Source organism: Homo sapiens, chromosome 17 (assembly GCF_000001405.40).
Source record: "Homo sapiens chromosome 17, GRCh38.p14 Primary Assembly".
Lineage (NCBI taxonomy): Eukaryota > Metazoa > Chordata > Mammalia > Primates > Hominidae > Homo > Homo sapiens.
Genome location: NC_000017.11, coordinates 782,351 through 796,479, shown reverse-complemented (window position 1 = coordinate 796,479; position 14,129 = coordinate 782,351). Strand labels below are relative to the sequence as shown.

Here is a 14,129-nt window from a genome sequence, read left to right as displayed (position 1 = left end):
CTGGGACTACAGGCACACGCCACCACGCCGGGCTAATGTTTGTATTTTTAGTAGAGACAGGGTGTCGCCATGTTTGCCAGGCTGATCTCAAACTCCTGACCTCGTGATCCGCCCGCCTTGGCCTCCCAAAGTGCTGGGATTACAGGCGTGAGCCACCGCACGCGGCCCCCTTCGTGCCTTTTGAGGAAGCAGCAGCCTTGGTCATGGCCCATAAGAACTCAGACTTCAACTGAAAAAAGTGGCTCTTCCCTACACAACAGTCCAGGAAGCTGGATATTGGGAGTGTGGTGAGACGAGAACTGACCCATCCATAAGCTATTCTGGATTCTCTGTCACTCTCAGCCGTGGAGCATCAAGCAGGCTTCCTGAAGCTTCGGGAGGACCTGGCTTCAGCTGCTGTCTCAGCTGCTCGAATGTAACATGGTTCCGTAGTTGAGACTTCAGTCATCCTGAGCAATAAACCAGCTCATCCACTAACTTGGCTCCTAGCTTATTACATGTGTGCACTCCCTGCACTGATGAAAACAGGAAACATGGCGGGCGCAGGGGCTCACGCCTGGCATCCCAGCACTTTCGAGGCTGAAGCAGGAGGATAGCTTGAGGCCGGGAGTTCAAGACTAGCCTAGGCAACGTGGCAAAACCCCATCTAAAAAAAAAAAAAGAAAACAGAGGAAACACAATCATGGAATTTTTAAGGTGGCAACATGTTTTCTTAAAAACAGGTGAGCCTGTCAGCTCTGCTCCTGAGGGAGAGGTAGCTTGGTCAAGAGGGCAGCCCCAGGCCCTGCAGTACAGCTGGTGATTTTCAGCCCAGAGCCCTGGAACCTTGGATGGGGAGTGTGTGTGAGGGCTGTGCGTGGTAGAATGGCAAAAGTGGGGCTAAGTGTGGCCCAGCGTGGCTGGTGCGGACATCTGGGGTTGCTGTCAACCCCGGGGCAAGCAGCGGAAGGTCCCAGGTGAACGGCAGGTCCCCAGAGGTCTGTTTCTCCTCTGGACCTTAATGACCAGGCTCCCAGCCAGGAGCCAGCGGCTGGGGCGAGGGGAGAGTGATTTCAACGCTCTCTGCCCCGAAGCAGGAACCGAAGGGCCAGCCGGTGGGCACCCAGCGTGAGCTCCAGGCACATCTGGACACCTATGCTTTGCCCAGAGTTGCTTTTCTCAGAGGCTGCAGTCACAGGGAAAAGTTGTGACGGTCTTTCCTGCTATTTCCCGTTCGTCCTCTTTCGCCTCCGTTTTTGTTCCCATGTCTTCCTGTACTCCGGGTTCTTTCTTCTGAGGTGGTCTGGGACAATCTGGATGGGTCTCCGGCTTTAACACCCCGGAGCACAGACAGCTTGCAAAATGCTCTCTGGTGGAGGGAGACTTCACTCCATCCTCTTTTCCTCCCTTTTCAACGATTTAAATCCAGGAAAAAATCGCAGCCCCGCCCTTCAGCACTGGGGTGGTTTTGGAGGTGTCGCCTGCCACCTCCTGGCAGACGCCACTGTGACAGCTACGCCACCACACAAAGGCGCGGGAGCGTGGCCAACATCCTGACAATGTTTGTCTCTCGGCCAAGCAGTGTTTTCCTTGTCAAATGTGGCTCGTTTTTTATTCCTGTTTACTGGGGAAATGGTGACAGAACAAATGTCAGACTCAAAACTGAGAATTCAAGGTAGTGATTTTCCAGAATCACTCAGCAAATAACAACCATCTGTTCCCCTGTATTCACTGAAGAAAGGACAATTTGCCTCCCTCCTGCACCCTCCCTCGTCCCTACTAAATTATACCCATGAATATATAAAGTGAACTGAAGGCACCGTGGCATATAAGCCACGGACTCTAAAGCAAAGGGATGTAAATTTCTTTTCCCTCTCACACCCAGGATAAAATGGGCTTAGAATTACTTGTCAGTGTTGGCCGGGCACTGTGGCTCACGCCTGTAATCCCAGCACTTTGGGAGGCCGAGGCGGGTGGATCACGAGGTCAGGAGATCAAGACCATCCTGGCTAACATGGTGAAACCCCGTCTCTACTAAAAATACAAAAAATTAGCCGGGCGCAGTGGCTCACGCCTGTAATCCCAGCACTTTGGGAGGCCAAGGCGGCGGATCACAAGGTCAGGAGATCGAGACCGTCCTGGCTAACACGGTGAAATCCTTTCTTCACTAAAAAAACACACAAAATTAGCCAGGCTTGGTGGCAGGTGCTACTCGGGAGGCTGAGGCAGGAGAATGGCGGGAACCCGGGAGGCAGAGCTTGCAGTGAGCCGAGATCGCGCCACTGCACTCCAGCCTGGGCGACAGAGTGAGATTCCGTCTCAAAAAAAAAAAAAAAAATTACTTTCCAGTGTTTACATTGCTTTTTCTAAACAAGGACAAGGTAATACATGGTTTATTCTTTCACTGTTATTTTGTAACGAGTCAGTGGGAGTATAACCCGGGGAACAAATCCCACGAGATTGGTTTTAGGCTGGAAAGATGTGAGCTTCCTTTTCGTGACTCCTGCTGCTTGAGCACTGTCCTGAGGTGTCTGGGGAGACTGGAGTGGGATGGATTTGCATTCTCCAGGCCGCCTTTCCGCCTGTCCTCTCTGCACCAGCCTTTGGGAGCAGTGTTGGGGGGACACTTGCATTGCCCATTCATGTGGAGCTCTGGGCAGGCCCAGACCACAGTGGGGCTCCAGAGCAGATGTTCAAATATTCAGATGTCAGCCTGGGAGGACACTGTCCCTGCAAACACCCCTCCCCCAGGGGAGAGCAATCCCAACCTGCCCCTTGGCACGTGAATCATGCTTGGTCATTTGGTTTTACTAGGAAGAGGGAGTTTGACTAGGAAGTTGGGGGAGTAGAAGAGAAAGAAGGTTTCTCCTGGGCACACCAGCAACACACTTGACCTCCCTGGAGTGAGCAGTGTCCAAACCATTACGGGAGCCGCTGGGCAGAGGGGTGTGGGGAAACGCTTCCTGTGTTGTCTTCAACTCCAACTCTGTGTGGCTGCAAAAGCAGTGCTTTTTTTTTTTTTTTTGAGACGGAGTCTCGCTCTGTCGCCCAGGCTGGCGTGCAGTGGCGCGATCTCGGCTCACTGCAAGCTCCGCCTCCCGGGTTCACGCCATTCTCCTGCCTCAGCCTCCCGAGTAGCACCTGCCACCACGCCTGGCTAATTTTGTGTATTTTTTTAGTGAAGACAGGATTTCACCGTGTTAGCCAGGACGGTCTCGATCTCCTGACCTTGTGATCCGCCGCCTTGGCCTCCCAAAGTGCTGGGATTACAGGCGTGAGCCACTGCGCCCGGCCTCCCGAGGTGCTGGGATTACAGGCGTGAGCCACTGCGCCCGGCCTCCCGAGGTGCTGGGATTACAGGCGTGAGCCACCGCACCTGGCCAGCAGTGCTTAAGAGTCCCATATTCCACCCACCCACCCCATCCCCACAGTTCCTTATAGATACATTGATGACCATCAGCACTTGCCCTGACACCCTGGCTACATCCTGGTTTGGCCGCTAGTAGGTAAAGATCCAGCTTGCCCTGGGCCCTGGAGGGGCTGAGAGAACAGAAGGGTCCTGCCGCTGTATTGTGGGCGTTCATTCTCAGAACCTTGGCCTCTAAACATTGGGGGATGAGACGTAAGTAGGACTAACACAGGGAACCAGGAAACAGTGACACTTTCCTGACACATGCAGGGTGAGGCTGCCGATTTTGAAATTCAGTTTTCCGCATAGACTTCCGTCTCTGCAAAGTCCTCAAAAAGGTATCTGCAGAGGTGCCAAGAAGGTCTGACATGGCCTGTTGAATTAAGCCGTTTCTATGGATACATAAACAGTGGCTCAGTGAAGCCCTGAACAATCTCAAAGACAGACCATCTGAGCCCAGAGCAGAGCTGCTGGATGCCATGAGCGTAGCCCTCAGCTTCCTGGTGTTCCCTTAGCCACGTCCTCGTTACCAGGCCAAACGTGACAGGTACTGTGACACACCAACGACACAAAACAACTTACTAACGTAATCTGCTGCTCATAGTTTATTTTCCACCAACCAGTGATCAGCTGTGAGTGATGTGGCTGTGACCTATAGCTGGTGCTTGGCGATTACAAACACCCACCAGCTGGTGGAGCAGGCGCCTCCCTGCCAGGATGATGCTTCAGGAACTTTCTGGGCACAAAGTGCTTCTTGGTGGACAATTTTTAAAAACACACAGAGCCACGTGGGTCACCTATTGTCACCAAGAGAAAAAAGAACCTCAAAATCAGTGACGCGACAGGAAGAATTCGGACCTGTTCTTTCTGAGGAAGTTCTTATTTTTCCTGTAACTGTATGACGGCATCACACCTTCCTCCTGAACGTGGGGGCCATAGTCACTGACTCCGCCAGCCTCCCACCAGTGTGCTGGTGTAGGAGGAGCTGCAGACGTCCTCAAGCAGAAGTCACTTCTGCGTCCTCAGTGGTAACTCCTGTCCCTGCTCAAGTCCTCCGCCCTCCCCCGCAGCTGTCTTTTCCCTTCGAAAAGCAGGATGCTTGCCGCCATGGCCGAGTTGAGGCTGTCCACACCAGGCACAACGGGGATCAGCAGCCTCTTGCCACCAGTGCTCTCGGCCAGCTGCAGGGACTCCAGGCTCACGCCGTAGGTCTCCCCGCCAATCACCACAGCTGCCGGCGCCTCTGTCCAGTCCGAGTCGTAACTCTGAACCTCAACATGAGGCAGCCAATCTTGACTGGCTCCGGTTTCTACATCTTCCTCTTCCTCATACTTGTGAAACTTCATCACTCGTTGATCACACACCCAGCCATGGTCACTAGCTTTATTAGACATCTCAGCCTGGGCATAAAGGCCACAGTTGTCAGCCACATAGACCCGAGTGTCAGGGGGCAGGTAATTGGGCACGGTTTCCCATTCCAGATTATTGATAATGGGCATCCGGAAATGTGCGCCCATACCCGCCCGGAGCACTTTGGGCTCCCAGGCATCCACACAGCCTGGAAAATAAAAAGGAAACAATCAAGATGTTACAAATCTTCCCAGACCAGGGGACTGTGGAGTAAGTCTGATCAATTTTGGATCAGGAGATAAACCAGTTCTTCTATGATAGCTTTCTTGAGGGATGGGACCTTCTGCCTCTCTCTGACAGCATCCAGCACAGCGACTATAGGAGTCACTCCTGCTAGTGCTGAAGATATTTTATGCATCCCTTCAACATCTCCCATTCACACGTGCCAGACACTGCGCAGAAGATGCAAAGATAATGAAAGTCCCCAACCCCAAGGAACGCACAGTGTAGTGGGGTGGTATTAAACAGATGGCTACAGTATCAGTAACTGATGTAAAAGAAGCACCCACACAGTCATAGAAAACCCACGGACAAAGCAGGGCGATGAGGAAAACCATCTAAAAGACCACCACACTGAGATAAAGGCCCAGGCAGAGGACAGAGCTAGGAGAGGAAGCGGGAGAGTGGCGCAGCCTAAGGACTGCAAGCATGGTGAGCCGGCCAATCAGCGGTGGCGCTGTGGCGGCACAGGAGGTGAGCCAGCCAATCAGCCGGTGGGGGTGTGGTGGCACAGTTGAGGTGGCCAATCAGCGGGTGGGGGGGGGGTGTGGTGGCACAGGAGGTGAGCTGGCCAATCAGCGGGTGGGGGTGTGGTGGCACAGGTGAGCCTGCCAATCACTGGTGGTGCTGTGGCGGCACAGGGGGTGAGCCGGCCAATCAGCGGTGGCGCTGTGGCGGCACAGGAGGTGAGCCAGCCAATCAGCCGGTGGGGGTGTGGTGGCACAGTTGAGGTGGCCAATCAGCGGGTGGGGGGGTGTGGTGGCACAGGAGGTGAGCTGGCCAATCAGCGGGTGGGGGTGTGGTGGCACAGGTGAGCCTGCCAATCACTGGTGGTGCTGTGGCGGCACAGGGGGTGAGCCGGCCAATCAGCGGTGGCGCTGTGGCGGCACAGGAGGTGAGCCAGCCAATCAGCGGGTGGGGGTGTGGTGGCACAGGCAGTGAGCCGGTCAATCAGCGCTGGGGCTGTAGTGGCACAGGAGGTGGGAGGTGGGCAGGCCAACACGGAGGAGGCCTCCTATGGGAAGCTGAGGAGTTTGGCATTTTATCAGAAGACAGTATCATGCCATTGAGGGATCTTAAGCAAAGCAGTGACAGAATCAGATCTATAGTTTCATCAAGACCCATTGGGCTTCAACGTTCAGTCTGCACCGGAGCAGGGAACACTCTAGAGATGAGGCAATGAGGCAAGAGGCAACCCCGGCAGCAGCCTGCGACGCCTGGCCTTTCCCAGGGGCGGCTCCTCACCACGGGCGGGCTGGGAGAGTGGCCGAGGGTGGGGCCTCGCAGTGACTGCATGGCCTCCCACCCTCCCCCGCACAGCTTGTTAGCGCAAGTCTTCTCCTGACGAGTTATTTTAGAAGTTCATTTGTCAAACCTCGGGATAGACGAACCAGGCAAACCAGATTTTAAACGGAGAATAAGACACAGAGGATGTAACAGCGCCTGCACCCCCAGCCACGGGCTTTCCCTCTCCCTGCAGGAAACCAGAGATAGGCCCAGGCGTGTGAGAGGAGCGGCCGAGGCTGACCCCTCTGCCTGGAGGGGAGAAGGGAAAGGGGAAAGGCGAGACTCCTCCCGTCATCCTCATGTCCTGGATACTGGGCACCACACCAAGTATTTCCTACCTTCTTTCCCTATTTCTTACACCCCAGCCATCAGTATCAATGTGAAAACCACAATGCTTGGATTATTTAGATTTATTTCCAAATCCCACAACAGCTATCAGAGCACTAAATAATGGGGCGAGTAAGCGGGTACTGATCACAGAACCCCAGCACGTAGCTCTCACACTGGCACAGAAACGTATTCTAGCAAGGCGTGACTGAGAAAGAGCTGCGAGCAGCAATTTAGGCAAGTCTCAACAACGGGTGCCACTATTAGTTTACTTTTAATGGTGGCTGGGGTGTTTCTGATGAATGGTACTCTCTGTCCCCTCCACCTCCCAAGGTGTAAGAGACATTTTAGGCGTGCTCCAACTGTGAGGAAAGTCTGTTTAGAGCCAAGCCTATTAATCCCTATTTCTGATGAGAAGAGACAGAAATGTAATGAGGCGAATTTGTGTGCGGGGCATGTGACCCACGCTGAGGCTAAGGGAATCTAAGGGAAACGGATCACAATGACATTAGGATTCAGAGCTGCTGACGTCATTCCTTTCATAGGATTCAGAAGTCAAGACTCAGGAGTGGCTCATATACTCAGCAATTTGGGAACTCAATATCATTACATAAAGAACCAGAAACCAAGTGTTAAAATTGGCATCTATTTCTTTTCCATAATCGATGTGAAGTTCTCTAACAGCCTAGCAGGTTTCATGATAATTTTAAAAGATAATAAACATGGCTGGGTATGGCGGCTAATGCCTATAATCTCAGCACTTTGACAGGCCGAGGCAGGAGGATCCCTTGAGCTTAGGAGTTCCAGATTAGCCTGGGCAACACAGCAAGACCCCGTCTCTACAAAAAACATAATTTTTAAAAAAGAGAATCAACATTGACTGAATTACTCGTGAGGCAGGTAAGGTATGAAGTAACTTCTGTGCATCATCTCACTTAATCCTCACAGTGACCAGGGAGATTCTGTTATTCCTCCCAGTTCACCAACGAGGAAGCTGACACTTCAGGGACTACTGCTCAGGGACCACAGCTAGTGAAGGCAGACCCATCCAAAGCCGTGTCTGCCTGCCCAGAGCCCTAGCTCACCTAACAATGGTCGACTTGGCTGGGCGTGGTTATTCATGCCTGTCATTCCAGCTACTGCTCAGGGACCACAGCTAGTGAAGGCAGACCCAAGATCCAATGCATGTCTGCCTGCCCAGAGCCATAGCTCACCTAACAGTGATTGACTTGGCTGGGCATAGTTGTTCATGCCTATAATTCCAGCACTTTGGGAGACTGAGGCAGGAGGACTGCTTGAGTCAGAGCCAGTTCAACACCAGCCTGGGCAACATAGTGAGACCCCATCTCTTTAATAAAAAAAAAAAAAAAAAAAAAGACCAGACCAACTAATCCACCTGGTTTATTATTTTTTTGAGAGGGAGTCTCACTCTGTCGCCCAGGCTGGAGTGCAGTGATGAGCTCACTTGACATGTGATGAGCTTTGACATCCCAGGCTCAAGCAATCCTCCCACCTCAGCCTCCCAAGTTGCTGGGACTGAGTACAGGCACACCCCACCACACCCAGCTAATTGTAGTTTTTTTTGTAGAGATGAGGTCTCACTATGTTGCCCAGGATGGTCCTGAACTCCTGGGCTCAAGTGACCCTCCTGCCTCGGCCTCCCAAAGGGCTGGATTACGAGTGTGAGCCACTATGCCTGGCCTTTGATGTCCTTACCTTTGGTGAGTAACACTTTGCTGCAGCCTGCCCCAGCTGCAGATCTCAGAATTGTCCCCAGGTTCCCAGGGTCACGGAGATTGTCACAAATCAATAATAAAGGCAGTGAATGCTGAAGCTGAGTCTTTGGATATGTCATCTTAACATGGTCAGGCTTGGCAAAAATCCCTGAGGAAACAAAACAGGTGGTTTACTTGCCTGGTGTGGGCACGGGGAATAGTCTGACTTTTCATTTACTTATCAATCTTGATATGGTCTTAGTTACATAAAAATACAGGAATACAGGCCAGGTGTACTGGCTCATGCCTGTAATCCCAACACTTCGGGAGGCCAAGGCGGGTGGATCACCTGAGGTCAGGAGTCCGAGACCAGCCTGGCCAACGTGGCAAAACCTCGTCTCTACTAAAAACACAAAGATTAGCCAGGCGTGGTGGCGCATGCCTCTAGTCCCAGCTACCTGGGAGGCTGAGGCAGGAGAATCGCTTGAATCTGGGAGGTGGAGGTTGTGGTGAGCCAAGATCACGCCACTGCACTCCAGCCTGGGCGACACAGTGAGACTCCCTCTCAAAAAGAAAAAAAAGGAAAAAAAAAACCACGAATACATTCTGATTGGCAAAATTCAAACAACATAAAATTCTACCAGTACCACTCTCCTCCCCCTCAACTGTTCTGTTTTGGAGTGTATCCTTTTAGAACTTGTTCTATGCATCTACCTATATATATGCACACCTGTCCATATGTAAATGTGTTTTACATTCCGTGTCATACTCTGTATTATTCTGTAATCGACTTATTTACGCAACAATATATCTTGAACTTACCATGTCAATATGTTTGAAGCTACTTTTTTCCTTTAACTGCTGTAGGCTATTTTTTTTTGAGACAGAGTCCCACTCTCTCACTCTGTTGCCCAGGCTGGAGTACAATGGTGTAATGCTGGCTCACTGCAACCTCTGCCTCCCGGGTTTAAGCAATTCTCCTGCCTCTCAGCCTCCCAAGTAGCTGGGATTACAGGCACCCGCAACCACACCCGGCTAATTTTTTGTATTTTTAATAGAGACGGGATTTTGCCATGTTGGCCAGGCTGGTCTCGAACTCCTGACCTCAGGTGATCCACCCTCCTCGGCCTCCCAAAGTGCTGGGATTACAGTTGTGAGCCACCATGCCCAGCCTCTATTTTGTAGTATGAATGTACCACAGTTCATTTAGCTCTTCCCCTATGGACTGTTAAATTATTTGAATTTTTCCCTGTTACAAATGCTGCTGCAATGGGTATCCCTGTAGGACTGTCTGTCCATGTGTCTAAAAATTTCTCTAGCATAAATACCTGTGAGTGAAATGGACAAATGATGTGCGTGCACTATTAACGTTCACACAGGCTCTTTCAGTTTATTCACATCAGGAACTCATAAATACCTGTTTTCGGCTGGGCGCAGTGGCTCATGCCTATAATCCCAGCACTTTGGGAGGCTGAGGTGGGCGGATCACAAGGTCAGGAGTTTGAGACCAGCCTGAACAACATGGTGAAACCCCGTCTCTAATAAAAATACAAAAATTAGGCCAGGCACGGTAGCTCATGCCTGTAATCCCAGCATGTTGGGAGGCTGAGGTGGGCGGATCATGAGGTTAGGAGATCAAGATCATCCTGGCTAATACGGTGAAACCCTGTCTCTACTAAAAATAACAAAAAAATTAGCCGGGCGTGGTGACGGGCGCCTGTAGTCCCAGCTACTCGGGAGGCTGAGGCAGGAGAATGGTGTGAACCCGGGAGGCGGACCTTGCAATGAGCGGAGATCACGCCACTACACTCCCGCCTGGGCGACAGATCGAGACTTCGTCTCAAACAAACAAACAAAAAACAAAAATTAGCCAGGCATGGTGGCGCATGCCTGTAATCCCAGCTACTCAGGAGGCTGAGGCAAGAGAATTGCTTGAACCCAGGAGGTGGAGGTTGCAGTGAGGCAAGATCGCGCCACTGCATTCCGGCCTGGGCAACAGAGACACTATCTCAAAAACAAAAAACAAAACAAAACAAAACCTGTTTTCCAGCTCAAACCCTTCTTAAAAGCGGGTCTATCATTTGTTTCCATTTGTCCCAATGTGATAGAAAAAACAGCATGCCATTATTTTAACTTGCCTTTTCTCTGATTACTAGAGAAGCTAAACACCTTACTGACTGACTGCGATCTTCTTCAGTGAATTCCTGTGCTCCTTTAACTGTCTTGTTTCTACAACCTGTGCCCATCTTCCTACCAGGTAGGCTTTTAAAAAATAGTTTATAGGCTTAAATATTTAAAAAACAATTATTAGCCTGCTATACTGATTTATCTTTCCTTTATCACTCATTTTAAAATTCAAACTACATTCCTAGGAAAAAGAATATGAATTTCAAAACTTGAATGCATCAAAGTAACAACCCCTTTTTCAAATACGCTGGCTCAGAAGCACTGTCTTAGGGACATACTCTGCAAAACGAAGGGGCTGTAGGTGCAGTGAACGCTTGAGTCACTTCCAAGGCCTCACGCTGGAGGTCCAGAAGCCTGGGAGCTTTAGAATGGGTACAGCCACTTACTGGCGACCGCTCTGTCCTCAGTCTAATACAAAGGAGTAAAATGGGGTCTGGGACTATCTGGGAAAATGAAAACCCTAAGTGGCCTTCTTAGTGGAAAATTCTCTCCTTATTTAATGATCTCTACATGATAAAATTATATATACATTATATAATAATCTACATTATATAATCTCTACATTATTAATCTCTAAAGTTTTATGGAAAGAATTTATGGGAAAAGAGAAAAATTGGAAAAAGGCTAATAACAATATTAAAAATGGCTTTGAGTACATGAAATTGCTGTGGTATAGATGAAGTTATTCACATGGGTGTATCACATATCCACAAGTTTCTTTTTGAATCACCATGTTTACTGGTAGAGGTGATAATGATAACCTTTTAGTAAGCTTTTTTTTTTAAGCCAAGCACTACCCTAAACTCTTTATGTATAATTATCAAATATTCAATCCCTTTGTAGTCTGCTCCCAAGGGACTGTACAGTTTTTTTGAATCTTACTAGTATTTTGTCGTATATGATTGCTACAATAAATGGGCTACTGACTGAAGTCAGGAGATGAATGAAATAGTACTTGTACTGAAACATGATACAATCAAAGATTTAGGATTCTTTCTAAAAGATGGTGCAGGTAAAAAGCCTATCCACCACTGAAGGCAATGGAAGGGTATTAGGCGTCTGTGTGCTGTGAGAGAGCCTCCACTTCGGAGTCACAGATGGCCAAAAGCCATTCAGTAGGGCTGAGGACCTTAGAAGTCCTTTACTTCTACTTGGATGTCTGTGGTGATGAGAACCCACTATACGGAGGCCCTACTTATGTCGCTGGATTCTGGGGAGTGTCTGTCTAAAGCCTGACAGGTGCTGCCAGTTCCTATCCATTTCTCCCTTATTCCCTGCCCTCAAATCTAAAATATAGTAACATAAGGATAAGCCAGGAAATGATGAAAGCAGGTATGATGATGAAGTTCAAGATGGGTTGGCCACTGTAAGCACACCTGCCCCAAGTGACAAGCACAAGTTCAAGATGGGCTGGCCACTGTGAGCACACCTGCCCCAAGTGACAAGCACAAGTTCAAGATGGGCTGGCCACTGTGAGCACACCTGCCCCAAGTGACAAGCACGGTAAAAATGAATAACACTTTCACTGAAGCATGGCGTGTGGATTAGAGGGCTGTAGCTAGTGAGAATATGGTTACTTAGCATGAGTAATTCTAGGTACTTTAGTAATCCAAGTCCCCATCCTAGGATCTAAGAGCTCTGAGTGCAGAGGCACAGATCCCTGTGACTCACTGGGTTACAGAGACAAGAGATGGTTCCCCAGAATCTCCTCTCTCAGCAGTTCAAGGATTCAGTTTTCATATCTTAAAACTCCCATGTCAAAAACGTATGAAAAACTTATCTTCTCATATTTAGACCAAAGACTTTGTAACTGCTAATCAACATCGGAGTTACATAAGGTTAAGTCAGATTCAGCCAAATGAAGGAACAGACTAGAAGACAAGGTTCTCTGTTTATTGGGCTAAACGGGGCAGTAAATTGTGGCTTGTACCTCGCTTCTTAGATCTGCTTCTGGAATAAGCAGTTTATTGACAGTTATCACCACATTGGCAGAGGTTTTGCAAAAATGAAGGGCTCAATCTTTCAGTAAACGCTTTCTTAATTTTTAATCTGACATAGAAAGTTGAAGAAGTAATCTAAAAAATAGAAGGTTTGAGGAATAGTGGTTCTTCCTAGAGACCATAAAGAGCCACAACACAAATGATAGTGAAAAACGGGTTTCAATTTCCATTGAAAATACTCTAAGATACACAGGTTTGAGAATTATATTTTTCTAATTGTAACATTTTGAATTTCATTTCAATGCTGCTGTCCTAAGACAAGTATGAGAAATTAATCCTAGGTCTCCACACCTTAAGATACACTGTGTAAGGCCAGGCATGGTGGCTCACGCCTGTAATCCCAGCACTTTGGGAGGCCGAGGCAGGAGGATCACCTGAGGTCACAAGTTCGACGTCAGCCTGGCCAACATGGTGAAACCCCACCTCTACTAAAAATACAAAAATCACCCGGGCATGGTGGCAGACGCCTGTAATCCCAGCTACTGCGGAGGCTGAGGCAAGAGAATCCCTTGAACCCGAGAGGCGGAGGTTGCAGTGGGCCGAGATCGCGCCATTGCACTCCAGCCTGGGTGACAGAACAAGACAAAAAAAAAAAAAGATACACTGGGTAATCACTAACCCATTATTCCTTGTGGCGTTACGAGGTCGGACCAATCCTTGATATCCTCAAATTTCACCTTAATGAGGCTGACACCTTTCAGCTTATCGACTGGCAACTCCTTTAGGTATTCTAGACGGCTAAAGAAGAACATTTTTGGCACAGCTCCAGCCTTGAGAGCGTCTGAAATGAGCCTGCGACCTTCCAGCAGGATCTTCCCTTGTTTTTCCCGAAATGGCCTGGACTTTACTATTGTCATTACACTGCTGTAGATGGAAATAAAAAAAAAAAACAGGTAACTATCAACATCCTTGTTACTGAGACACGCTTAGTTGTAACAGAAATAAAGAGCTACGGAGAGGGCCGGGCGCGGTGGCTCACGCCTGTAATCCCAGCACATTGGGAGGCCGAGGCGGGCGGATCACCTGAGGTCAGGAGTTCCAGATCAGCCTGGCTAACATGGTGAAACAAAAACAACAACAAAGAGCTAAGGAGAAACAGAAGCTAATTCCAAAGACGCTTATTCGGCCCTCTGTGCATAATACAAAAACCAGCGGGCTGTACTGGAAGAAGTCCTCCATCGGAAGGAGGTTAAGGTTCCGCTGTGCGACGGGAAGGGAAACGAGAACATTCGACAGGCTCAAGAACCACATCACCTCAGCCTCCTGTCCCCGGGATAAGCTTTATCGTAGCGAAGCCCAGACTCTTCCCAGGTGCTGGGAGCGCGGGATGCGGACTCCTCGAGCGGTTGTTTCTCTCGTTGCTCCTGGGCACTGGCCTCAGATGGTGCCTTGCGGGGCTGCTTCCCAGGAGCGCGCTTCTGTTCCACCACCTCTCCGGAAGGAAACACCACTTTCACTGGGCTCCGCCGCAGCGCCCGGACCCAGCGCCTCGCGTCAAGGTCCCAAGCCTGGACCACCTGCAGCAACGGTCGCACGACAAACCTCGCGGGTCTCACCAGCGCCGCCATGTTCCCTGAGACCCGGGCTGCGTCACGA

General features: G+C 49.8%; 2 protein-coding genes across 3 annotated transcripts in view, besides 4 other annotated features; one reads left to right on the top strand and one right to left on the bottom strand.

The window, feature by feature from the left end:
* Nucleotides 1-3,970: 3,970 nt before the first annotated feature.
* On the bottom strand, nt 3,971-14,127 carry MRM3 (mitochondrial rRNA methyltransferase 3). Of its 2 annotated transcripts, NM_018146.4 has the most exons (4): nt 13,788-14,127; nt 13,153-13,397; nt 8,348-8,515; nt 3,971-4,946 (listed from the first exon to the last, which is right to left on the bottom strand). In NM_018146.4, exons 1-4 carry the CDS (start codon nt 14,099-14,101, stop codon nt 4,411-4,413), a joined length of 1,263 nt encoding a protein of 420 aa, NP_060616.1. In that variant the 5' UTR covers nt 14,102-14,127; the 3' UTR covers nt 3,971-4,410. The 2 variants fall into 2 exon arrangements, with proteins under 2 accessions (NP_060616.1, NP_001304876.1); NM_001317947.2 differs by lacking the exon at nt 13,153-13,397.
* Nucleotides 5,317-5,611: an enhancer, noted in NCBI's record as "tiled region #8532; K562 Activating non-DNase unmatched - State 18:Pol2". NCBI's record gives its function as "activates a minimal TATA promoter and a strong SV40 promoter by Sharpr-MPRA in K562 cells {active_cell/tissue: K562}" and the evidence as "EXISTENCE:reporter gene assay evidence [ECO:0000049][PMID:27701403]".
* Nucleotides 10,585-14,129, top strand: part of GLOD4 (glyoxalase domain containing 4) — a 26,566-nt gene continuing 23,021 nt past the window's right edge. Inside the window, exon 1 of the mRNA XM_047436196.1 lies at nt 10,585-10,603. The gene's annotated coding sequence lies outside the window, so the exon portion shown is untranslated. The remainder of the gene's footprint in view (nt 10,604-14,129) is intronic.
* Nucleotides 13,600-14,129: part of a biological region, named in NCBI's record as "NANOG-H3K27ac-H3K4me1 hESC enhancer GRCh37_chr17:685572-686120", that runs on past the window's edge.
* Nucleotides 13,600-14,129: part of an enhancer, noted in NCBI's record as "NANOG-H3K27ac-H3K4me1 hESC enhancer chr17:685572-686120 (GRCh37/hg19 assembly coordinates)", that runs on past the window's edge. NCBI's record gives its function as "activates a minimal SCP1, AML or CMV promoter by ChIP-STARR-seq in naive H9 embryonic stem cells {active_cell/tissue: H9 hESC(naive)}" and the evidence as "EXISTENCE:reporter gene assay evidence [ECO:0000049][PMID:30033119]".
* Nucleotides 13,820-14,129: part of an enhancer, noted in NCBI's record as "active region_11441", that runs on past the window's edge. NCBI's record gives its function as "activates an Ori minimal core promoter by ATAC-STARR-seq in GM12878 lymphoblastoid cells {active_cell/tissue: GM12878}" and the evidence as "EXISTENCE:reporter gene assay evidence [ECO:0000049][PMID:35858748]".